The sequence below is a fragment of the Homo sapiens genome, chromosome 22 (assembly GCF_000001405.40).
Source record: "Homo sapiens chromosome 22, GRCh38.p14 Primary Assembly".
NCBI classification, from domain to species: domain Eukaryota; kingdom Metazoa; phylum Chordata; class Mammalia; order Primates; family Hominidae; genus Homo; species Homo sapiens.
The window spans coordinates 17,640,860-17,667,781 of NC_000022.11; the positions used below are offsets into that span (position 1 = coordinate 17,640,860).

General features: G+C 44.2%; 1 protein-coding gene and 1 pseudogene across 25 annotated transcripts in view; one reads left to right on the forward strand and one right to left on the reverse strand.

Moving 5' to 3' along the window:
• Window positions 1-26,922, forward strand: part of BCL2L13 (BCL2 like 13) — a 101,979-nt gene that overhangs the window by 11,983 nt on the left and 63,074 nt on the right. For 15 of the 25 annotated variants that reach the window (XM_047441287.1, XM_047441291.1, XM_047441290.1 and 12 more), the window contains one exon: window positions 14,803-14,973. The exons of 7 other annotated variants lie outside the window; for them this stretch is intronic. In XM_047441287.1, the coding sequence (XP_047297243.1) occupies window positions 14,853-14,973 (121 nt within the window). In that variant the 5' untranslated portion in view covers window positions 14,803-14,852. Of the gene's footprint in view, window positions 1-14,802; window positions 14,974-22,039; window positions 22,155-26,922 lie in introns of those variants that run through there. 3 more of the 25 variants (NR_073068.1, XM_047441288.1, XM_047441289.1) reach the window with 1 other exon arrangement.
• LOC124905160 (uncharacterized) lies at window positions 547-660 on the reverse strand (annotated as a pseudogene).

The window sequence follows — 26,922 nt, forward strand, 5'->3', positions numbered from 1 at the left end:
TATATGTTTGTTTATTAATTTTTTATATATATATATATATTTTTTTTTTGAGGCGGAGTGTCGCTCTGTCGCCCAGGCTGGAGTGCAATGACACGATCTCGGCTCACTGCAAGCTCTGCCTCCTGAGTTCACACCATTCTCCTGCCTCAGCCTCCCGAGTAGCTGGGACTACAGGTGCCCGCCACCGCGACAGGCTAATTTTTTGTATTTTTAGTAGAGACGGGGTTTCACCGTGTTAGCCAGGATGGTCTCGATCTCCTGACCTCGCGATCTGCCCGCCTCGGCCTCCCAAAGTGCTGGGATTACAGGCATGAGCCACTGCGCCCGGCCTAAATAGATATGTATTTTATTGTGAAATACTTCAGGCATACAAAACACAAGTGTTAAACATTCACTTAGTTCCAGTCTGCATTTATCATTTTTTAGACAGGATTTTGATTTGTATCTTATTCCAAATAAATGTTCACCAAGAGTTCTTGTTTAATATATATACAAAGTGGGGGTGGGTGGTATTTTCAGATTGGTTTATTTTTTTTTCTTGTTCTTCCTCAGACGGTAATGTGCCAATAAGCCCATGAGGCAACATGATTTGAGGGAGGCACATGTCATGCATTAGCATGAAACCCAGTCATCTTGGTTCTTTATGAACCGCAAAAGGATTGGAGTAGCTGATTTTTTTTAACAACTTTATTGACATATAATTAACGTACCATACAACTCACCATTGTACAATTCAGTACTTTTTAGTATATTCACAGAGTTGTGCACCCACCACCACAATCATTTTCATCACCTCAAAAAGAGACTCCCATACCCATTAGCAGTCATTCTTTATTACTGGTCCTCCTACCCCCACCCTTGGGCAACCACTGATCTACTTTCTGTCTATGGATTTGCCTATTCTGGAGATTTCACAAAAATGGGATCACATAATATGTGTTTTTTTTTTTTTTTTTTTGAGAATGAGTCTCACTCTGTCGCCCAGGCTGGAGTGCAGTGGTGCCATCTCGACTCACTGCAAGCTCCGCCTCCCGGGTTGACGCCATTCTCTTGCCTCAGCCTCCTGAGTAGCTGGGACTACAGGCGCCCGCCACCACGCCCGGCTGATTTTTTGTATTTTTAGTAAAGACGGGGTTTCACTGTGTTAGCCAGGATGGTCTCCATCTCCTGACCTTATTATCTGCCCATGTCGGCCTCCCAAAGTGCTGGGATTACAGGTGTGTGCCACCGCGCCTGACCAATATGTGGTCTTTTGTGTCTGGCTTCTCTCTTTTTTTTTTTTTTTTTTTTTGAGACGGAGTCTCACTGTCGCCAGGCTGGAGTGCAGTGGCATGATCCCACTGCAACCTCGGACTCCCAGGTTGAACCTAACTCAGTCCCAAAGTAGACTGAGACTGTAACTCAGTCTCAGTAACTGTAACTCAGAGTAGCTGGGATTACAGGTGCGTGCCACCACACCCAGCTAATTTTTGTATTTTTAGTAGAGACGGGGTTTTGCCATGTTGGCTAGGCTGGTCTCCAGCTCCTGATCTCAGGTGATCCACCTACCTTGGCCTCCCAAAGTGCTGGGATTACTGGCGTGAGCCACCACGCCCGGCCTGTCTGGCTTCTTTCACTTAGCATAATGTTTTCAGAGTTTATCCAAGATGTAGTGTGTATCAGTACTTTATTCCTTTTTATTGCTGCATTCTATTCCATTGTGTGGACATACCACATTTTAAAAATAAGTTGATGGGCATTTTTTTTTTTTTGAGATGGCATTTCACTCTTGTTGCCCAGGCTGGAGTGCAATAGTGCCATCTCAGCTCACCTCAACCTCTGCCTCCTGGGTTTAAGCGATTCTCCTGCCTCAGCCTTCCAAGTAGCTGGGATTATGGGCACACACCACCATACCCAGCTAATTTTTTTTGTATTTTTTGTAGAGATGGGGTTTTTCCATGTTGCTGAGGCTGGTCTCAAATTCTTTGACTCAAGTGATCCTCTTGCCTCTGCCTCCCAAAGTGCTGGGATTATAGGCATGAACCACCACACCTGGTCTGTAATGCTGCTTTGAGCATTCATGTGCAAATTTTTGTGCAGATGCGTTTTCATTTTTCTCTGGTATATATCTGGAAGTGGAACAGAGTAACTGAATTTTATGTCCTCCATTTACACAAGCCATATACAGGAAGCCTAATTATTGTGAAAGTCAGATTATCTAGGACGGGATGAAAGTAAGGCAGTTCTCTGAATTATCTGCAAATGCCAACTGCTGAGTGAAAATATTTTTGGGTAGCTCTAACACAAGATTGAACAATTAGGCCTGTTTTAATTGGAAAGGGGGTAGTGTCTACACTAGAGTTTTAGTGTCTGCTGAGTTTTAAAAATGATACTTGTCCAGTTGCATTTTTCAGATGGGTGGGGTGAATTTTTTACCATTTGATAATTTTTTTTTTTGAGATGCAGTTTCACTCTTGTGAGGTCTTCACTCCCGACCTCAGGTGATCCGCCCGCCTTAGCCTCCCAAAGTGCTGGGATTACAGGTGTGAGCCACCGCGCCCGGCCATTTCATAATTTTTATTAGAATTATTTTACTCTCTTTCAGAGAAAGTCTTACAATTCAATAGGAGCTGGCAAAGCATGGATTAGAAAATAGCTTTGGACTCCATGTTAACTTGTGGAACTTAAAAAAAATTCCCTGTTCAAGCCACCAGTGAGTCATGAGACTAAAGAGCTGATAGCCAAGAAACTTAATGTTTTGTTGTTGTTGTTTGCTTTTTTATTTTTATTTTATTTATTTATTTTTTGAGATGGAGTCTCACTCTGTCGCCCAGACTGGAGTGCAGTGGTGCGATCTCGGCTCACTGCACGCCCCGCCTCCTGGGTTCATGCCAGGAGGTGTGTAGCTGGGACTACAGGCACTCGCCACCATGCCCGGCTAATTTTTTGTATTTTTAGTAGAGATGGGGTTTCACCGTGTTAGCCAGGATGGTCTCGATCTCCTGATCTTGTGATCCGCCCTCCTTGGCTTCCCAAAGTGCTGGGATTACAGGCGTGAGCCACGGCGCCCGGCCAACTTTTTTATTTTGAGACAGAATCTCACTCTGTTGTCCAGGCTGGAGTGCAGTGGTGCAATCTCGGCTCACTGCAAACTCCGCTTCCTGGGCTCAAGCCTGATTCTCCTGGCTCAGCCTCCTGAGTAGCTGGGAATACAGATGCACACCGCCACACCCAGCTAATTTTTGTATTTTTGGTAGAGATGGGATTTCACCATGTTGGCCAGGCTGGTCTCGAACTCCCGACCTTAGGTGATCTGCCCATCTGGTCTCCCAAAGTGCTAGGATTACAGGCATGAGCAACTTTGCCTGGTCTTTTAATGTTTAAAATTACAGCTTTTTGATTTGTGATGGATTTATCTGTGAATTTTTATTTTTCTCTTTATAAACTGGGATTATAGTTGTGTTCAACTCTGTATTACTGGAGCATTTAATAATTCTTTTTTTTTTTTTTTGAGACAGATTCTTGCTCTGTCACAAGGCTGAAGTGCAGTGGCACTATCTCGGCTCACTGCAATCTTTGCCTCCTGGGTTCACGCCATTCTCCTCTCTCAGCCCCCTGAAGTAACTGGGACTACAAGTGCGTGCCACCACGCCCAGCTAATTTTTGTATTTTTAGTAGAGACAGGGTTTCACCACGTTGGCCAGGATGGTCTCAATCTCTTGACCTCGTGATCCGCCTGCCTTGGCCTTCCAAAGTGCTGGGATTATAGGTATGAGCCACCACGCCCGACTGCATTTAATAATCTTATAATATTTTAGTGGAAGGAAATTTAGAAACAGGTTTTTGAAATAATTTATTAAAATGTGTTAAACTATAGGGTGTTTTGGTTTTCGTTCTGTGAGGTTAGAGAATACAGTATAAGTGTGATACTCTAAATTAGTATATCTAATGTGAGTGCTAGGAATTTCTTTTTTTTTTTTTTTTCTTTTTGAGACGGAGTCTTGCTCTGTCATCAGGCTGGAGTGCAGTGGCACAATCTCAGCTCACTGCAACCTCTGACTCCCTGGTTCAAGGGATTCTCCCACCTCAGCCTCCTGAGTAGCTGGGATTATAGGCACACGCCACCATGCCTGGCTAATTTTTTGTATTTTTAGTAGAGACGAGGTTTCACCATGTTGGCCAGGATGGTCTCGATCTCCTAACCTCGTGATCCACCCACCTCGGCTTCCCAAAGTGCTGGGATTACAGGCATGAGTCACCACACCCAGCCTAGGAATTTCTTTTTAAATAGGCATCCAAAGTAATTTGATGGGACAAGTTTGGGAAACAAATACAAAAGACTGTCATGTTGCTGCATATTTGCTTTACATAAGAACTAATAGTAGGATTTTTTTTTTTTTTTTTTTTTGGAGGCAGAGTCTCACTCTGTCACACAGGCTGGAGTGCAATCTAGGCTCACCGCAACCTCTGCTTTCTCGGTTCAAGCGATTCTCATGCCTCAGCCTCCTGAGTAGCTGGGATTACAGGCACACACCATCACGCCTGGCTAATTTTTTTATTTTTAGTAGAGACAGGGTTTCACCATGTTGGCCAGGCTGGTCTCTAACTCCTGGCCTCAAGTAATCCACCCACCTTGGCTTCCCAAAGTGCTGGGAAGTATAGGCGTGAGCCACCATGCCTGGTTTATAGTAGGATTTAATAGCTGCTGTGTACCTTCTGATTATGTTTCATAAAATGTGTCTAATTCCTACAATATAATCAGCACTGGTAGCATTCTGGAACTTGGACTGGTACTTGTAATAGAAATCTGGTTTAGAAAAGAAAATGAACCATATATTGTAGAATTGTGGATATACATTTGTTGTTAAAGGTTCATGGATGTTTTATTTGTGGCTGGTTTTGGAGATGACACCAAATGAATACATAAACACAGCATGAAGTTAGTCTAGGTTTCCTTAGGCTGTTTGGCTAGCAACCACAGTTGGCCCTCTTTATCCAGTTTCCATATCTCTGCAGATTCCACCAGTCTTGATTGGAGAATATTTAGGGAAAAAAACACAAATAACAATAAAAACAATACAAATGATACCAATACAGTATAACAGCTATTTAATGGCATTTACATTGTCTTAGGTATTATAAGTAATCTAGAAATGACTTAAAAGTATATGAGAGGGAGGAAGTGAGTAGGTTATATACAAATACCACACCATTTTGTATAAGGAACTTGAGCATCTGAGGATTTTGGTATCCACAGGTATCCTGGAACCAATCCCACATGGGTACCAAGGGACAATTCTACTTGAAACTTAATAGAGGAACAAAGTAAAAAGATTAAGGCACAGAAAGAAACAGGTGGGTTACATATTATGTTTAATAGTTTGAATCGTACAAATTATAGCAGGTTTTTTGTTTGTTTGTTTGAGACAGAGTTTCTCGCTCTTGTTGCCCAGGCTGGAGTGCAATGGCACGATCTCAGCTCACTGCAACCTCCACCTCCTGGGTTCAGGCGATTCACCTGTCTCAGCCTCCTGAGTAGCTGGGATTACAGGTGTGCATGCCACCACGCCAGGCTAATTTTTGTATTTTTAGTAGTGACGGTGTTTCATCATATTGGTCAAGCTGGTCTCAAACTCCTGACCTCAGGTGATCCGCCCACCGCACCCTCCCAAAGTGCTGGGATTACAGGCATGAGCCACTGCGCCTGGCCAAGATAGCAATTTTTATAGTTAAGATCATCTATGTATTTACTCACTTCTGGATACCAAGAACACTTGTACTAACTTGAATTTTAAGAGGTCCTATTAGATAAAATTCAATGAGTAAAGGTAACTATATGTCCCTCTCATCATTTGAAAAGAATCTTGAAATATCTGTCTTTTTTTTTTTTTTTTTTTTTGAGATAGAGTCTAGCTCTGTCGCCTAGGCTGGAGTGCAGTTGTGCAATCTCAGCTCACTGCAGCCTCTGCCTCCCAGGTTCAAGTGATTCTCCTGCCTCAGCCTCCAGAGTAGATGGGATTACAGGTGCCTGCCACCACGCCCAGCTAATTTGTGTGTGTGTGTGTGTGTGTGTGTGTGTGTGTGTATAAACTACATATATATATATATATATATATATTTTTTTTTTTTTTTTTTTTTTTTCTTTTTCTTTTTGGGATGGAGTCTTGCTCTGTCACCCAGGCTGGAATGCAGTGGCACAATCTTGGCTAACTGCAAGCTCCGCCTCCCGGGTTCACACCATTCTCCTGTCTCAGCCTCCCAAGTAGCTGGGACTACAGGCACCTGCCACCACGCCTGGCTAATTTTTTTGTATTTCTAGTAGAGACGGGGTTTCACCGTGTTAGCCAGGCTGGTTTCGATCTCCTGACCTTGTGATCCGCTCGCCTTGGCCTCCCAAAGTTCTGGGGTTACAGGCATGAGCCACTGCACCTGGCCTAATTTTTGTATTTTTAGTGGAGACGGGGTTTCACTGTGTTGGCCAGACTGGTCTCGAACTCCTGACCTCGTGATCCGCCTGCCTTGGCCTCCCAAAGTGCTTCTACAAAAGCTTTAGGTGATGGTCCCGCGTCATAATTACCTTTCATCCAATCTAGCTTTTTTTTCCCCCCGTCCATTCTCAAAACTGACAAATTTGCTTCTTTCAGTACTCTGGATCTGTGATACTACAAAAACCACCTTGTTTTGCTACCGTATCCTTCCGTATTACTAGTGTTAGTGTTTTCACCTCTGCATTCCTCTCACCTAGTACATTACCTGGCATATAGTAAATATGTGTTGAATAAATACAGTTAAGGTCTAAGAGGAAGTGAAGACGGTGTACCCAATTAAGTGGTTGTGCTGTTACCTAGCTGTATGATTTTAGGCAAATAAATTGTTCTTGTTTCTCCATCTATAAAATTTTCATTCAAGTATAGAGGATTACTGTGACAACACATAGAAAAATGCTTTAGAAACAGATGTCACGAAGATGTAATTTATATATGATGTTTATTAGAAATGCCAAAGTCCCTCCGGGCGCAGTGGCTCACGCCTGTAATCCTAGCACTTTGGGAGGCCAAGGTGGGCGGATCGGGAGATAAGGAGATCGAGACCATCCTGGCTAACACGGTGAAACCCCCGTCTCTACTAAAAAATACAAAAAATTATCCGGGCTTGGTGGCACACCCCTGTAGTCCGAGCTGCTTGGGAGGCTGAGGTAGGAGAATCGCTTGAACCCAGGAGGCGAAGGTTGCAGTGAGCCGAGGTCATGCCACTGCACTCCTGGCGACAGAGACTCTGTCTCAAAAAAAAAAAAAGAAATGCAAAAGTTCATTGTGCAATATACTTATTAGACACTGCAGAATGTTGCAAAGGAAGTGGGTGTCCTCTCCCATTTTGTGCTTAGAGACATAACCCTGTAGTAGTGCTGTGGAGTTTACACTTGGCCTGTTATCAATACCTTTGTCCTATAATTTAATATAAATGTGCTAGTTACATAATAGTGTTCTTGGGATCTGACTTTTCCCCATTTAACCATAGTCCTGAAGGAGCTGCTGCATTGCTACACAACTGGAAGCTCAAGCTAAATTAGAAGTTGGGGCCAGATATGGTGGCTCACGCTTGTAATCCCAGCAATTTGGGACGCCAAGGTTGGAGGATCACTTGGGGCCTGGAGTTTGACACCAGCTGGGGCAACATAGTGAGACTCCATCGCTACAAAAAATTTAAAAATTAAAAAAAAAAGTTGCATGGCTGTTTTATACTGTAGGTCTGTTATGTTTATAACCAGAATAACAAATATGCATTTAAAGTCTGAAAACTGTATACTAGATTTAAATGAATAAATATAATCCTTCACCAAATATATAGATATATGGGCTTTAGCATATATACTAGAGTTAAAGGTGGAAGATGATGAAATTCATGATTAAGATTGCATTTATAATTACACAATCAGGTTTTATAAGAAAATTTGAGGAACATTAGGCTAAAAATCAAATTTGGAAACTTAGTGATTTGTAGTTTGTCTCTGGCTTTTGGGTTGGCAAACGACTTCAGTGATGTGGATTCTTGATAAATACAACAAATTTGAATACAACAAATTAGAGAATATCAATTTTTTTTTCTTTTAATTAGAGGCAGGGTGTTACCCTGTCGCTCAGGCTGGAGTGCAGTGGTATTATCACAGGCTCACTGCAGCCTCAATCTCCTGGGGTCAAGCTTGCTTCCTGCCTCAGCCCCCCACATTGTTGGGATTATGGGCATGAACTTGTGCCCGGCTCAATTTTTTTTTTTTTTGGGAGACGGAGTCTAGCTCTGTCACGCAGGCTGGAGTGCAGGTATGATTTCGGCTCACTGCAACTTCTGCCTCCCAGGCTCAATCAATTCTCTTGCCTCAGCCTCCGGAGTGGCTGGTATTATAGGCGCACGCCACCATGCCTGGCTAATTTTTGTATTTTAGTAGGGACGGGGTTTCACCAGGTTGCCCAGGCTGGTCTGGAACTCCTGACCTCAGGTGATCCGCCTGCCTCGGCCTCCCAAAGTGTTGGGATTACAGGCGTGAGCCATCACGCCGGGCCAATTTTTTAATTTAAAGCATTTATTCAAAATGTAAATACTTTCTTCTTCCTGCTACCAAAGAAATACTGAGACTTTTTTATTTTCTAGCAAAAGAGGGTTGTTGCTAAAGAGACTTTTTTTTTTGAGACGAAGTCTTGCTCTGTCGCCCAGGCTGTAGGGCAGTGGCACGATCTTGGCTCACTGCAACCTCTGCCTCCCGGGTTCAAGTGATTCTCCTGCCTCAGCCTCCTGAGTAGCTGGGATTACAGGCACCTGCCACCATGTCTGGCTAATTTTTGTATTTTTAGTAGAGACCGGGTTTCACCATGTTGGCCAGGCTGGTCTTAAACTCCTGACCTTAGGTGATGCACCCGCCTCGGCCTCCCAAAGTGCTGGGATTACAGGCGTGAGCCACTGTGCCTGGCCGCTGAAGAGACTTCCAAAAGCTTAGATTGTTATTAATTTTATCTATTCTCCCCTCTTTTTTTTCTTTTCTTTTTTTTTTTTTTTTTTGAGATGGAGCTTTGCTCTGTCGTCCAAGTTGGAGTGCAATGCGTAATCTTGGCCCACTGCAGCCTCCGCCTCCCTGCTCTGAGCGATTCTCCTGCCTCAGCCTCCTGAGTAGCTGGGATTACAGGCGCCTGCCATCATGCCCAGCTAATTTTCATAGTTTTGAAGAGATGGGGTTTCACCATGTTGGCCAGGCTGGTCTCGAACTCCTGACCTCAGGTGATCTGCCCGTCTCAGCCTCCCAAAGTGCTGGGATTACAGGCATGAGCCACTGCGCCCGGCTGACTCTTCTTATTTTCATTCTTCTTGACATGTTACTACGTTTGACACAGTTGTTCACTGCCTTCTTATTGAAGTGCCTCCCTGACTTCTGTGATTACAGTCTTTCCTGGTTTTCTTTCTACCTTTCTGTTTCAATCTGGACTGAAAGGGTTCCTCTTCCAGCTTCTCATCTTTTGACTACCCCTTAAATGTTAGTGGATTCTAATGTGTTCTTTTTAAGATTATACCAGTATTTTTGAACATGTTTTGTAGCCTATGTCTCCTTTATTAAAAATAAGGTAAATAAAAATTTCTGTGGCTCCTATTCTGGTGGCATTGGCGGTGGGAGGCACGTTATTTTTCCTTCTTGTCCCAGCACTGAGAATCACTGCTGCAAAGAAGACTGAAAATTTACTGAGCCTTACCTTCTATAGTCTGTAGTCTAAAAATAATAGGTGATTTTCCTTTTCCAAGTCTGAAAGTATATTGAATATTCTTTTACAAACTATAGTCCCTCTGACATTTTGACACACCCCTCCCATTGAAAATCACTGTTCATTCACATTGGTTTTTTTTAAAAGATAGGATCTTGCTCTGTCACCCAGGCTGGAGTGCAGTGGTGCAGTCCAGGCTCACTGCAGCCTCAACTTCCTGGGCTCAAGCTATCCTCCCATCTCGGCCTCCCAAGTAACTGGGACTACAGGCATGTGCCACCATGCCCAGTTAATTTTATTTTCTTTCAGGCTATCTTGAACCCCTGGCCTCAAGCAGTCCTCTTGCCTCTGCTTCCCAAAGTGTTGGGATTACAGGTGTGAGCCACCGCACCTCGTCGTCCATTCACTCCTTTTTTTTTTTTTTTTTTTTGAGACGGAGTCTTGCTCTGTAACTCAGGCTGGAGTGCAGTGGCGCGATCTCGGCTCACTGCAACCTCTGCCTCCCAAGTCCCGGTTCAAGCAATTCTCCTGCCTCAGTCTTCCGAGTAGCTGGGATTACAGGCATGCGCTACCATGCCCAGCTAATTTTTGTATTTTTAGTAGAGACAGGGTTTCACCATGTTGGCCAGGATGGTCTTGAACTCCTGACCTCGTGATCTACCCGCCTTGGCCTCCCAAAGTGCTAGGATTATAGGCGTGAGCCATGGCGCTGGGCCATTCAGTCTTCTTAGGTAATTTGATTGACTTATACAGAATACTTAGAATTTTGTATCTCCAGCCTAGACCTATTTATTTATTTATTTATTTATTTATTTATTTGAGACGGAGTCTTACTCTGTTGCCCAGGCTGGAGTGCAATGACCGATCTCAGCTTACTGCAAGCTCCGCCTCCCAGGTTCAATTGATTTTCCTGCCTCCGCCTCCCGAGTAGCTGGGATTACAGGTGCCTGCCACTGTGCCCGGCTAATTTTTGTATTTTTAGTAGAGACGGGTTTTCACCATGTTGGCCAGGCTGGTCTCGAACTCCTGACCTCATATGATCTACCTGCCTCAGGCTCCCCAAAGTGCTGGGATTACAGGCGTGAGCCACTGCGTCCAGCCTAGACCTTTCTTAAAGACTTTTTTTTGAGACGGAGTCTCACTCTGTCGCCCAGGCTGGAGTGCAGTGGCGCGATCTCGGCTCACTGCAAGCTCCGCCTCCCGGGTTCAAGTGATTCTCCTGCCTCAGCCTCCTGAGCAGCTGGGACTACAGGCGCCTGCCACCACGCCCGGCTAATTTTTTCTGTTTTTAGTAGAGACAGGGCTTCACTGTGCTAGCCAGGATGGTCTGGATTTCCTGATTGCGTGATCCACCTGCCTTGGCCTCCCAAAATGCTGGGATTACAGGTGTGAGCCACCACCCCTGACTTCTTAAAGACCTTTATATCCAACTGCTTGTTCTGTATCACTACCTGGATGACCTGTAGGTACTTGAAAATTCAGTGCAGATGCTCCTCAACTTATGGTGGGGTTACATTCTGAGAAACTCATCATAGGTGGAAAATATCATATGTTGAAAATGCATTTAATACACCTACCAAACATAGCTTAGCCTGTGCTTAAAACACATTAAGCAAAAAATTTTTTTTAAATTTTTTGTAGAAATGGGATTTCGCCATGTTGCCCAGGCTTGTCTCAAACTCCTAAGCTCAAGTGATCCCTCTGCCTTGACCTCCCAAAGTGCTAGGATTACAGATGTGAACCACTGTTCCCAGCCACACATTAAGCACATTTAAGTGTGCTTAAAACACATTAGCCTGCAGTTGTGTAAAATCATGAAATATAACAACTATTTTATGTAAAGTGTTGACTATCTTATCAAATTTCTTTTTTTTGAGACTGAGTCTTGTTCTTGTTGCCCAAGCTGGAGTGCAGTGGTGTGATCTCGGCTCATTTCAACCTCTTCCTCCTGGGTTCAAGCAATTCTCCTGTCTCAGCCTCCCAAGTAGCTGGGACTACAGGTGCATGTCACCATGACTGGCTAATTTTTGTATTTTTAGTAGAGATGGGGTTTTGCCATGTTGGCCAGGCTGATCTTGAACTCCTGGCCTCAGGTAATCCACCCGCCTCAGCCTCCAAAAGTGTGGAGTTACAGACATGAGCCATCGTGCCCGGCCATCAGATTTCTTGAATACCATATTGAAAGTGAAAAAACAGAGTGAGGCCAGGCGCGGTGGCTCAAGCCTGTAATCCCAGCACTTTGGGAGGCCGAGGTGGGTGAATCACGAGGTCAGGAGATCGAGACCATCCTGGCTAACACGGTGAAACCCTGTCTCTACTAAAAAATACAAAAAATTAGCCGGGCGTGGTGGCGGGCACCTGTAGTCCCAGCTACTCGGGAGGCTGAGGCAGGAGAATGGCGTGAACCCAGGAGGCGGAGCTTGCAGTGAGCCGAGATCGCGCCACTGCACTCCAGCCTGGGGGACAGAGTGAGACTCAGTCTCAAAAAAAAGAGAAAAAACAGAGTGGTCGTATGGATACTTGAAGTTCAGTTTCTACTGAATGCATATTCTGTTTGCACTGCCATCATAAAGTGAAAAAATTGTAAGCCAAACTGTCGTTAAGTCGGGGACTGTCTGTATACCCTAAAGTGATTTCCTTATCCTTCCCAAAACCGACTCTTCCTATATTATCTGATTTAAGAAATAGGAGTAATACCACTTACCTTACAGCTTCCTGGGTCACTCTCTCATTGAGTTAACCAATAGATCTTTGAATTCCTAACCTTTTTCCTATCCATCCTTCCCTTTTCAGTGTTCTGTTCCTATGCTAGTTCATGCCTTCTTACATCTCTTGCTGAGGTTTTTCCATATTCTCGTAACTTGTCTCCTTGCGTCTACTCTTCAGTCTGTCTTCCTTACCACCTCCAGTATGATTTTTTTTTTTTTTTTTTTTTTGAGACAGGGTCTTGCTTTGTCACTCAGGCTGCAGTGCATTGGTATGTGATCATAGCTCCTTGTAACCTCAAGCTCCTGGGCTCAAGTGATCCTCCTGCCTTATCAGCCTCCCAAGTAACTAGGACTACAGGCGCATGCCACCACACCCAGGGCTAATTTCATTTTTTGTAGAGACAGGGTCTCACTGTGTTGTCCAGTCTGGTCTTGAATTCCTGGTGTCAAGTGATCCTCCTCCCTTGTCCTTCCAAAGTGTTGGAATTATAAGCATGAGCCACTGTGCCAACCACTTATATCTATAGCCATTTTATTTTGTATATTTGAAATTCTTTTTCTATTTTTAAAAATTGTTTATCATTCTAGGATATTTATCTTAGTTTGCTTATCACAGATGTTAAATTTTGCCGACATTGCCTCTTTTTCCAGTCTGTATTTTTGTTATAAGTATTTTTGGTTTCCTATGAAAACTCCTGAGGTCTGGTGATTTATCATGTTTGTCTTCATGTCTAATGCCTATAGAGTACCTTGCAGCTTAATAAATGTGTGTTGAATGAACACAAAAAAATTATCAGAAAACTTTATCTTCTATTTCTTTTTGTTTTTGTTATTGAGACAGGGTCTTGCTCTGTCACCCAGGCTGGAGTGCAGTGGCGTGATCATGGCTCACTGCAGCCTCTACCTCCTGGGCTCAAGCAGTTATCCCATCTCAGCTTCTGAGTAGCTGGCATTATAGGTGTGCACCAGATGCCTGGCTAATTTTTAACATTTATTTAGAGACAAGGTTTTACCATGTTACCATGTTGTCAGGCCGGTTTCAAGCAATCAACCTGCCTCTGCCTCCGCCTCCCAAAGTGCTGGGATTATGGGTATGAGCCAGCACACCTAGCTTTTTGTCTTCTCTCTTTTTTTTTCTTCTGTTTTTTTTTGAGATGGAGTCTCGCTCTGTCGCCCAGGCTGGAGTGCAGTGGCGTGATCTCGGCTCATTGTAAACTCCGCCTTCCGGGTTTATGCCATTCTCCTGCCTCAGCCTCCCGAGTAGCTGGGACTACAGGTGCCCGCCATCACGCCCGGCTAATTTTTTTTGTATTTTTAGTAGAGACGGGGTTTCACTCTGTTAGCCAGGATGGTCTCGATCTCCTGACCTCGTGATCCGCCCGCCTCGGCCTCCCAAAGTGCTAGGATTACAGGTGTGAGCCACCGCACCTGGCCTGTCTTCTCTTTTTTTAAGACAGGGTCTTGCCCTGTTTCCCAGGCTGGTGTGCAGTGGTGCAATTATAACTCACTGCAGTCTTGACCTCCTGGGCTCAAGCAATCCTCCCGCCTCAGCTTCCTGAGTAACTGGGACCATAGGCAGGCCCTACCACGCCCAGCTAATGTTTTAAATTTTTTTGTAGAGATGGAGTCTTGCTATATTGCCCAGGCTGGTCTTGAACTGCTGGACTCAAGCAGTCCTCCCACCTCGGCCTTCTAAAGTTCTGGGATTACATGCGTGAGCCACCATGCATTGCCTGTATCCTTATTTTATAAGCTTTTTTCTGTTTTTAAATTTTCTTTTTTTTTTCCTTTTCCTTTTAAACTGTTTTCCTAAAAACTAAGACACAAACAGACTCATTAGCCCAGGCCTACACAGAGTCAGGATTATTAATATCACTGTCTTCTACCTCCACATCTTGTCCCACTGGACAGTCTTCAGAGGCAGTAACACCCATGGAGTTGACATTTCCAGTAACAATGCCTTCTGGAATCCCTCCTGGAGGACCACCTGCCCTGAGGCTTTACAGTTCACTTTTTTTTTTTTTTTAAATAAGCAGGAGTATACTCTAACAATAAAAAGTGTAGTAAATACATAAACCAGTAAGTCATCTAGTATTATCAAGTATTATGTACTGCATGTAATTGTATGTGCAGTACTTTTTTTTTTTTTTCTTTGAGAGGGAGTCTTGCTCTGTCGCCAGGCTGGAGTGCAGTGGCTTGAACCCAGGAGGCAGAGGTTGTGGTGAGCTGAGATTGCGCCACTGCACTCCTGCCTGAGCGACAAGAGCAAGACTCTACCTCAAAAGAGTTGCACAAGACATTTTGGTGTGAAACAACTGTTAAAGTGGCATGTAATAAACTTTAAACTGAAAAAATTACTTTTTTGTTCTTAGGTTTTACACATCCATAAGTAGACCTTTTTGGAGCCTCACCAGCCAATTCAATGGCGTCCTCTTCTACTGTGCCTCTGGGATTTCACTATGAAACAAAGTATGTTGTTCTCAGCTACTTGGGACTCCTCTCTCAAGAGAAGCTGCAAGAGCAACATCTTTCCTCACCCCAAGGTATTATCTTTGGCTTATGGTGGTTATAGTAAATTGTAATAAGGACTTTATATATAAAAGTATATGTATCTAATTTATATGTGTGGTTATCAAATAGTACTAATAAGCCTGTAAGAATAACCTGTTAGGGCTGGGCGCGGTGGCTCACACCTGTTATGCCAGCACTTTGGGAGGCTGATGTGAGCAGATCACGAAGTCAGGAGTTCGAGACTAGCCTGGCCAACATGGTGAAACCCTGCCTCTACTAATAATACAAAAATTATTTGGGCATGGTGGCATGCGCCTGTAGTCCAGCTACTCAGGAGGCTGAGGCAGGAGAATCGCTTGAACCCGGGAGGCAGAGGTTGCAGTGAGCTGAGATCGCACCACTGCGCTCCAGCTTGGGCAATAGAGTGAGACTCCATCTCAAAAAAAAAAAAATATACACAAAAAAGAATAACCCGTTATGCCATTCTTTCCATTTCCAGAAGCAAAAAACAAAAGTATTTTTTTTCATTTTATTCTTTTTTTTTTTTTTTTTTTTTTTTTTTTTTTTTGGGACAGAGTCTCACTCTCTCTCTAAGGCTGGAGTGCAGTGGCATGATCTTGGCTCACTGCAACCTCCACCTTCCCGGTTCAAGCGATTCTGCCTCAGCCTCCCGAGTAGCTGGGATTACAGGTGCACACCACCATGCCCGGCTAATTTTTGTATTTTTAGTAGAGATGAGGTTTTGCCGTGTTGGCCAGGCTGGTCTCAAACTCTGGACCTCAGGTGATCGCCCGCCTCGGCCTCCCAAAGTGCTGGGATTATGGGTGTGAGCCACGGCGCCCAACTCATTTTATTCTATTTGAAAGATATTTCCAAAGCACCTGCAGCCCTCTATTGGCAGTTACATTTTTTCGATACTTCACAAATATTAGTCTATTGTGTTATACTTTCACTTACAATTGTTGAGCAGTCTGTTGTCATTCTACTAAGTGTTCCATCATAATGATACAGTTTATTTTGGCTGCCTTATTTTTTTGAGATGGAGTCTCACTCTGTTGCCCAGGCTGGAGTGTAATGGCATGATTTTGGCTCACTGTAACCTCTGCCTCCCGGGTTCAAGCAATTCTCCTGCCTCAGCCTCTCAAGGAGCTGGGACTATAGGCGCACGCTGCCACGCCCGGCTAGTTTTTTGTATTTTAGTAGAGACGGGGTTTCACCCTGTTTCCCAGGCTGATCTCAAACTCCTGAGCTCAGGCAATCTGCCCGCCTTGGCCTCTCAAAGTGCTGGGATTACAGGCGTGAGCCCCAGGCCGGCTTGGCTGCTTTTTAGAGATTCTCCGTCTTTGGTGGTGTTTCAAACTTAAACACATCTTAGTGAAACAGCCACCAAGCCAGAGAAATTCTAAAAAGCAGCCAAAATAAGTGTTTTGCACATCCAAAACAAATAAAATTTATGTTTTACACATCCACAATGGGGATTGTTTGGCTTCCTGAATTTAATAATTCATTTGTTTACTCTGGAAAAATTATTTAATATTTTATCTTTGAATACTCTCCTCATCTTCTCTACTTAACTCTACTTTGTGCTACAATCAATTGCACATTATGCTGTTTATAGAAGACGTACATGATCCTGTCTGTTCCTCCATATCTCACTATCATTTTCCTAGTTTATCTCCATTTATCTGTCTGTGAAGCCCTCTGTGACATTTCTTTTTTTCTTTTTTTTTTTTGAGACGGAGTCTCGCTCTGTCCAGGCTAGAGTGCAGCGGCACGATCTCGGCTACTGCAACCTCCGCCTCCTGGGTTCAAGCGATTCTTCTGTCTCAGCCTTCCGAGTAGCTGGGACTAGAGGCACGTGCCACCATGCCTGGCTAACTTTTTTTTTCGTATTTTTAGTAGAGATGGGGTTTCACTCTGTTAGCCAGGATGGTCTTGATCATCTGACCTCATGATCCGCCTGCCTCGGCCTCCCAAAGTGCTAGGATTACAGGCGTGAGCCACCACACCTGGTTGACATTTCTTTTTTTTTTTTTTTTTTTTTGAGATGAGTCTTGTTCTGTCACCAGGCTGGAGTTCAATGGCGATCTTGGCTCACTGCAACCTCCGACTGCCGGGTTCAAGCAATTCTTCTGCTTCAGCCTCCCGAGTAGCTGGGATTACAGGCGCATGCCACCAGCCCGGCTAATTTTTGAAATTTTAGTAGAGACAGGGTTTCACCATGTTGGCCAGGATGGTCTCGATCTCCTGACCTCGTGATCCGCCCTCCTCAGCCTCCCAAAGTGCTGGGATTACGGGCATGAGCCACCACGCCCGGCCGACATTTCTTTATCGTCCAATTCACCCTTTCTTCATCTCTCTTTAAGCTGCTAAATAAACTTTTCACCAGATAGCAAATTTTAATTCATTTTTTATCTGTGTATATTCTGTTTTTTAATTTTCAACAACTGGCAAATGTGAAAGAATACATGAATATGTATGTATGTATTATATACACATAGACATTAACAAAAGCCTTCAGTGTATTTCATATTTGTATTGGTAATGGTCGTTTTCTTAGAGGTCTATAATTACCAGAGGTTTTTCTTAGCTTTAAGATTTAATATTCCTGGCTGGGTGGGGTGCCTCATGCCTGTAATCCCAGCACTTTGGGAAGCCAAGGCGGGCGGATCGCCTGAGGTCAGGAGTTGGAGACCATTCTGGCCAACATGATGAAACCCTGTCTCTGCTAAAAAATACAAAAATTAGCCGGGCATGGTGGCACACGCCTGTAATCCCAGCTACTTGGGAGACTGAGGCAGGAGCATTGCTTGAACCCAGGAGGCGGAGGTTGCAGTGAGCAGAGATTCCACCATTTGCACTCCAGCTCTGGGCAACAGAGCAAGACTCTGTCACCAAAAAAAAAAAAAAAAAATATTTTCTATTCTTAATTTATAATAAAGATAACTATAATGCTTGTATAAAAAACATTAATTGGGCCAGGCACGGTGGCTCACACCTGTAATCCCAGCACTTTGGGAGGCTGAGGCAGTTCACTCACAAGGTCAGAAGTTCAAGACCAGCCTGGCCAAGATGGTGAAACCCCATCTCTACTAAAAATACAAAAAAATTAGTTGGGCATGGTGGCAGGCACCTGTAATCCCAGCTACTTGGGAGGCTGAGGCAGAGAATTGCTTGAACCCAGGAGGCGGAGGTTGCAGTGAGCTGGGATCGCCCCGCTGCACTCCAGCCTGGACGACAGAGCAAGACTCCATCTAAAAAAAAAAAAAAAAAAAAAAAAAAAGGCCAGGCACGGTGGCTCACGCCTGTAATCCCAGCACTTTGGAAGGCCAAGGTGGGTGGATCATGAGGTCAGGAGTTCAAGATCAGCCTGACCAATATGGTGAAACCCTGGTTCTACTAAAAATACAAAAATTAGCTAGGTATGTTGGCGGATGCCTGTAGTCCCAGCTACTCTGGAGGCTGAGGTGGCAGAATTGCTTGAACCTGGGAAGCAGAGGTTGCAGTGAGCCGAGATTGTGCCATTGCACTTCAGCCTGGGTGACAGAGCGAGACTTCGTCTCAAAAAACAAACAAACTGGCTGGGTTGGGTGGCTCACGTCTGTAATCCCAGCATTTCGGGAGGCTGAGGCGGGTGGATCACGAGGTCAGGAGATCGAGCCCATCCTGGCTAACATGGTGAAACCCCATCTCTGCTAAAAATACAAAATATTAGCTGGGTGTGGTGGCGGGTGCCTGTAGTCCCAGCTACTTAGGAGGCTGAGGCAGGGGAATGGCGTGAACTCAGGAGGTGGAGCTTGCAGTGAACCGAGATCATGCCACTGCACTCCAGCCTGGGCGACAGAACGAGACTCCGTCAAAAAACAAAACAAAACAAAACAAAAAAACAAGAAACAAACCTGAAATGATGACAAGCAACAACAAAGTGGATTTCCAGTCTAGTTCTGAGAAGAGGTGAGCATGATAATAATGATACTCCACTACAGCTTTATATGAAAATTAAAATCCCTTAGATATCTTCATTTATACAAACATTTAATTTATTTATTCTTATTTTTATTTATTTATTTTTGAGACAAGAATCTTGCTGTGTCACCCAGGCTGGAGTGTAGTGGTCCCATTTTGGCTCACTGCATCCTCCACCTCCTGGGTTCAAGCATTTCTTGAGTCTCAGCCTCCCGAGTAGCTGGGACTACAGGCACGCGCCACTGCGCCGAGCTCATTTTTATACTTTTAGTGGAGATGGGTTTTCACCATGTTGGCCAGGCTGGTCTCGAACTCTTGTTCTCAGGTGATCCACCCCACCTTGGCCTCCCAAAGTGCTGGGATTACAGGCACGAGCCATGGCGCCTGGCCTATATATAAACATTTTAAAGGAACTGTTAAGTGAAGATCCACTAGTTGTGGGATGGAAAATACTGTTTTTTTAACAGTGGTTTATTTCCGGATTTTTTTCCCCAAAGAAATGTGCAGTTATGCATTTTCAAGAATGTTCGAAGAAACAAGAATTGATTTTTTGATAAACTGACTAAAGACAATCCATTGTACCAGTTGAGGAACTTATTTTTGGAATGTATTTTTATAAATTGATCAGATTGGTTTATTTCTACACTTACTGATTGATTGATTGATTGATTGAGGCAGAGCCTTGCTCTTCTGCCCAGGCTGGAGTGTAGTGATATGATCTTGGCTCACTGCAACCTTCACCTTCTGGGCTCAGTCGATTCTCCTGCCTCAGCCTCCGAGGAGCTGGAAGTACTCGAACAGGCCCGCGCCACCATACCTGGCTAATTTTTTTATTTTTCGTAGAGATCAGGATTTGCCACATTGGCCAGGCTGGTCTTGAACTCCGGACCTCAAGTGATCCGCTCACCTTGGCCTCCCAAAGTGTTGGGATTACAGGTGTGAGCCACCACACCCAGTCTACACCTCATTTATTTAATTTAACTATTTCAACTTTTGTAATGTTTTTTATTATTCCATTTCTTTATTTGTTTGCTTTTCTTTGAGACAGTCTCGCTCTCGTCAGGTGGGAGTGCAGTGGCACCATCTTGGCTCATTGCAACCTCCACCTCCTGGGTTCAAGCAATTCTCCTGCCTCAGCCTCCCAAGTAGCTGGGACTACAGACGCATGCCACCACACCCAGCTAATTTTTTTAGTAGAGACGGGGCTTCACCATGTTGCCCAGGCTGGTCTTGAACTCCTGAGCTCAGGCAATCTGCCTGCTTTGGCCTCCCAAGTGCTAAGATTACAGGCATGAGCTTCTGCACCTGGCTCCATTTCTTTTTTCTTAACTTCTCTGGAGATAATGCTGGACATTTCATTTTGTCACCCAGGTTAGAGTGCAGTGGCACGTTCTCAGCTCACTGCAACCTCTGCCTCCCGGGTTCAAGCAATTCTCCTGCCTCAGCCTCCCAAGTAGCTGGGATTACAGGCGCCCGCCACTGCCCCTGGCTAATTTTTGTATTTTTAGTAGAGACAGGGTTTCACTGTCTTGGCCAGGCTGGTCTCGAACTCCTAACCTCGTGTTCCACCTGCCTCAGCCTCCCAAAGTGCTGGGATTACAGGTGTGAGCCACCGTGCCTGGCCAACATTTTATTTTTTAAGTGGTACTTTTTAAAAAACTTTAAGCTAGTGTTGTAAACTTTTCTTTTTATAATAAAATTTCTCTAGGTGAAGGATAAAGGTTGAACCTCTGTCCCGGAGGTTCTTGAAGTGGCTGACAGTCAAAGGGCTGAACTTTTCCCATCAGAAGCAATTGCTTTTAATGCTTTTTGAGAGCTTGCTATTTTAAATGATTGCCATTAGTACAAGTAAAAATGTACTGTGTACACGTAAATAAATAGAAATCCATCTGTCCTTAGAGATTTCACACTTACTATGACATGATTAGAATTGCATAATTATGTGCCGGGTGTGGTGGCTCACACCTGTGATCCCAGCACTTTGGGAGGCCAAGGCAGCCAGACCACCTGAGGTCGGGAGTTAGAGACCAGCTTGACCCACATGGAGAAACCCTGTCTCTACTAAAAATACAAAATTAGGTGGGTGTGGTGGCGCACACCTGTAATCCCAGCTACTGGGGAGGCTGAGGCAGGAGAATCTCTTGAACCCGGGAGGTGGAGGTTGTGGTGAGCCAAAATTGCACCATTGCACTCCAGCCTGGGCAACGAGAGTGAAACTCCATCTCAAAAAAAAAAAAAAATTGCATAATTATTTTAAAATTTACAGTATAATTGTTACTTTAATTGACATTTTTTCAGGGATATTAGATTTACACAATGAATTTATATTTCTGATAGAGTTTTTAGCACAATTCTTTGTATTGTGAAGTTGTATATTTCCTTTAAACAAATAATTTGCTTCCTAAATCATGCTTAAAACAGTTACTGAGGGGCTGCGCGTGGTGGCTCACGCCTGTAATCCCAGCATTTTGGGAGGCCAAGGCGGGCGGATCACGAGGTCAGGAGATCGAGACCATCCTGGCTAACACAGTGAAACCTCGTCTCTACTGAAAAAAACAAAAATTAGCCAGGCATGGTGGCAGGTGCCTGTAGTCCCAGCTACTTGAGAGGCTGAGGCAGGAGAATGGCGTGAACCCGGGAGGCAGAGGTTGCAGTGAGCTGAGATCGTGCCACTGCACTCCAGCCTAGGCGACAGAGTGAGACTCCATCTCAAAAAACAAACAAAAAATTTACTGAAACCTGAATTAGTCTTCTTCATTAAAATATAACGTCAGGCTGGGTGTCATGGCTCACACCTGTAATCCCAACACTTTAGGAGGCCGAGGTGGGCCAATCACTTGAGCCCAGGAATTCGAGACCAGCCTACATGGCGAAACCCCGCCTCTACAAAAAATAAAAATAAATTAGCTGGGTATGGTAGTGCGCACCCATAATCCCAGCTACTCAGGAGGCTGAGGTGGAAGGATTACTTGAGCCCAGTCTGCTGAGGCTGCAGTGAACTGAGATCATGCCACTGTACTCCTAGGCGACAGAGCGAGACTTTCAAAAAAAATAAAAATAAAAATAAAATAAATAAAATGTAATATCACCTTGTTAAATATTCTTTTCATTTGTTTTTGTTTTTTGACACAGAGTCTCTCTCTTGCCCAGGCTGGTGTGCAGTGTTGAGAACACAGCTCCCTACAGCCTCTACCTGTTGGGCTCAAGCAATTCTCCCATCTCAGCTTCCTGAGTAGCTGGACCACAGGTGCGCACCACCATGCCCAGCTAATTTTTAAACTTTTTGTAAAGACAGGGTCTTGCAGTGTTGCCCAGGCTGGTCTCAAACTCGTGGGCTCAAGTGATCTTCCTGCCTTGGCCTTTCAAAGTGCTGGGATTACAGGCGTGAGGTATTGCATCTGTCCTTCTTAAATGTTCTTATCCATAAATTTCTACCACAGCAATGGAGGTATCTATTATTTGTCTGCTGCCATTCTAGCTTAAGAGTGAGTAGTAGTAAGAATTCAGAAATGATGGAATTCAGTAGTATGGATTACAGATGGTGTCCTAAGAAAGCTAGTGTAAATAATTAAATGTAACTAGTTGGTGTGTCCTACTTTTGAAAATTGAATCATATTTTAATGCCCTGACATAGGTGGCTATCTAAACAAAATTATATCAAAATGACTAAAAGGTCATAAAACATCATGCGATACCAAATATTTATAATCTCATCAAACTCCCAGAGGAACTGTTTTTCTTTTATTGTTTTCTAATCTTTATCAGTATATACAGTTTTATGTAGTTGTAATCAATTGTGATTTTTACTTTTCATTCAATTTTAATTTGGAACATTTCATATTTACATGTTCTATATTTCATCTTCCTTATTGTGTGTTTGAATGATTTCCTTTTATTATTATCTTTTACATTTTTCCTTTTTTTTTTTTTTTTTTGAGATGGAGTCTCGCTCTGTTGCCCAGGCTGGAGTGGTGCAGTGGTGCGATCTTGGCTCACTGCAACCTCCACCCGCCTAGTTCAAGCGATTCTCCTGCCTCAGCCTCCTGAGTAGCTGGGATTACAGATGCTTGCCACCACGCCTGGCTAATTTTTTTTTTTTTGAGATGGAGTCTCGCTCTGTTGCCCAGGCTGGAGTGCAGTGGCACGATCTTGGCTCACTGCAACCTCCGCCTCCCGGGTCCAAGTGATCCTCCTGGCTCAGCTCCTTTAGTAGGTGGGATTACAGGCACGCGCCACCATGCCTGGCTAATTTTTGTATTTTTAGTAGAGACAGGGTTTTGCCATGTTGGCCAGCCTGGTCTTGGACTCCTGACCTCAGGTGACCCACCTGTCTCAGCCTCCTGAAGTGCTGGGATTACAGGTGTGAGCCACCGCGCCCAGCCATTTTTTTGTGTTTTTAGTAGAGTTGGGGGTTTCACCATCTTGGCCGGCTGGTCTCGAACTCCTGACCTCAGGTGATCCAGCTGCCTCGGCCTCCCAAAGTGCTGGGATTACAGGTGTGAGCCACCGTGCCCAGCTGGCAGTCAAATCTTAAAGCTCCAAAATGACCTTTGACTCCATGTCTCACATCCAGGTTGTGCTGATGCAAGAGGTGGGTTCCCATGGCCTTGGAGAGCTCCACCTGTGTGGCTTTGCAGCATATATAGCCACCCCCCCCCGGCTCCTTTCACAGACTGGCATTGAGTGTCTGTGGCTCTTCCCGGTGCACAGTGCAAGCTGTCAGTGGATCTACCATTCTGGGGTCTGGCGAACAGTGGCCTTCTTCTCACAGCTCCACTAGGCAGTGCCTCAGTGGGGACTCTGTGTGTGGGTTCCCACCCCACATTTCCCTTCTGCACTGCCCTAGCAGAGGTTTTCCATGAGGGCTCCACCCCTATAGCACACCTCTGCCTGGACATCCAGGCATTTCCATACATCTTCTGAAATCTAGGCAGAGGTTCCCAAACCTCGGTTCTTGACTTGTGTGCACCTGCAGGCCCAACACCATGTGGAAGCTGCCAAGGCTTAGGACTTTCACCCCCTGAAGCCATTTCCCGAGCTGTACCTTGGCCCCTTTAGCCACGACTGGAGTGGCTGGGATGCAGGGCACCAAGTCCAGAGGCTGCACACAGCAGGAGGGGGCCCTGGCCCTGGTCCAGGAAACTATGTTTCCCTCCTAGGACTGTGATGGGAGGAGCTGCTTGGAAGGTTTCTGACATGCTTTGGAGACATTTTCTCCATTGTTTTGGCAATTAGCATTTGGCTTCTTGTTACTGGTGCAAATTTCTGTATCAGGCTTGAATTTCTCCCTAGAAAATGGAGTTTTCTTTTCTACTGCATCATCAGACTGCACATTTTTCAAACTTTTATGCTTTGCTTCCTCTTGAAGCTTTGTTGCTCAGAGATTTCTTCTGCCAGATACCCTAAATCATCTGTCTCAGGTTTAAAGTTCCACAGATCTCTAGGGCAGGGGCAAAACGCCACCAGTCTCTTTGCTAAAACATAGCAAGAGTCACCTTTGTTCCAGTTCCCAATAAGTTCCTTATCTCCATCTGAGACCACCTCAACTTGGACTTTATCGCCCATATCACTGTCAGCATTTTGGTCAAAACCATTCAATAAGTCTCTAGGAAGTTCCAGACTCTCCCACATTTTTCCTGTTGTTTCCTGAGCCTTCCACACTGTTCCAACTTCTGCCTGTTTGTTACCCATTTCCAAAGTTGCTTCACATTTTCGGGTATGTTTAAGCAGTGCCCCACTCCCAGTACCAATTTTCTGTATGAGAACAGTATGGGGGAAATCACCCCCATGATTTGTTTCCACCTGGCCCCGCCCTTGACACATGGGGATTATTACAATTCAAGGTGAGATTTGGGTTGGGACACAGCCAAACCATATTTGCACAATGTTTTCAAGATTCATCTATGTTATAGCATAAATAATCTTCCTATCACCAGTGTACAGAGGTTCTGATTTCTCCATATTCTTACCAACATTTGTTTTCTGTTTTTTTAATATTAACCATCCTAAAGGTTGTGAAGTGGTGCCTTATTGTGGTAGCTTATTTCTTTTTATTGTTGAATAATATGCCGTTGTATGAATATACCATAGTTTGTTTATCGAGTCACCTTTCAAGAACATCTCAGTTCCTTCCAAATTTTGGCAATTATGAATAAACGTTTGTGTGTAGGTTTTTGTGTGTATGTAAGTTTTTAACTCATTTGGGTTAATACCAGGGAGCACAGCTGCTGGGTCGTATGGTGAAAAGAATATATTTTGTTTTATAAGGAATTGCTAAACTGTCTTATGAAGTGATTATGTCATTTTGCTTCCTGCCAACAATATGTAAGAGTTTCTCCATCTCTTTGCCAACATAGCTATTCTAGGGGATGTGCTGTAATCTCATTGAGTGTATCTCATTGTGGTTTTATTTTTAATTTTAATTTTTAAATGTATTTTTATTTTTTATTTTTTTAAATTTTTTGAGTACATAGTAGGTGTATATATATATTTATGGGGTACATAAGATGTTTTAATACAGGCATGCAATGACAAATAAACACATCATAGGGAATGGGGTATCCGTCCCCTCAACATTTATCCTTTGAATTACAAACAATTCAGTTACTCTTTAAGTTATTTTAAAATGTACAATTAATGGGCTGTTGAATAGTAGGTCTTAGTCATTATTTATTTATTTATTTATTTTAACCCATTAACCATCCCCACCTCCTGCTGTCCCCAGACCCCCATTACCCTTCTTAGTTCTGGTAACCATCCTTATATTCTCTGTGTCCATGAGTTCAGTTGTTTCTTTACATCTCAGAAATAAGTGAGAATATGCAATGTTTGTCTTTCTGTGCCTGGCTTATTTAACTTAACACAATGACTTCCAGTTCTATCCATGTTGTTGCAAATGACAGGACCTCATTCTTTTTTTTTTTTTTTTTTTTTAAGACAGGGTCTTGCTTTGTAGCACAGGCTGGAGTGCAGTGGCATGACCTCAGCTCACTGAAACCTTTGCCTCCCGGGTCCCGGTTCAAACAATTCTCCTGCCTCAGCCTCCTGAGTAGCTGGGTTTACAGGCATGCGCCACCATGCCCAGCTAATTTTTGTATATTTAGTAGAGACGGGGTTTCACCAGTTGGCCAGGCTGGTCTTGAACTCCTGACCTAGTGATCCTCCTGCCTCAGCCTCCCAAAGTGCTGGGATTACAGGTGATCTCATTGTTTTTATGCCTGAATAGTACTCCGTTGTCTATATGTACCACATTTTCTTTATCCATTCATCTGTTCATGGACACTTAGGTTGCTTCCAAACCTTGGCTGTTGTAAACAGTGTGCAGCAAACATAGGAGTGCAGATAGCTCTTTGATATACTGATTCCTTTTTTTGGGTATATACCTAGCAGTGGGATTGCTGGATCATATGGTAGCTCAATTTTTAGTTAGTTTCCCCCCCAACCCCACCAGGGTGGAGTGCAATGGCACAGTCTTGGCTCACTGCAACCTACGCCTCCTGGGTTCAAGCGATTCTCCTGCCTAAGCCTCCTGAGTAGTTGGGATTACAGGTGCCCACCACTACGCCTGGCTAATTTTTGTATTTTTAGTACAGATGGGTTTCGCCATGTTGGTCAGGCTAGTCTCGAACTCCTGACCTCATGTGATCTGCCCGCCTTGGCCTCCCAAAGTGCTGGAATTACAGGCGTGAGCCACCGCACTTGGCCTACTTGAGTTTTTTTAAATTGAGTTGTAAGAAGTCTTTGTTGTTATTGTTGTTTTTGAGACAGAGTCTATCTCTGTTGCCCAGGCTGGAATATAGTGGTGTGGTCTCAGCTCACTGCAACCTCAGCCTCCCAGGTTCAAGCGATTCTCCTGCCCCCACCTCCTGAGTAGCCGGGATTATGGGTGTCTGCCACCATACCTGGCTAATTTTTGTATTTTTAGTAGAGACGGAGTTTTACCATGTTGGCGAGGCTGGTCTGGAACTCCTGACCTCTAGTGATCTGCCCGCCTTGGCCTCCCAAAGTGTTGGGAT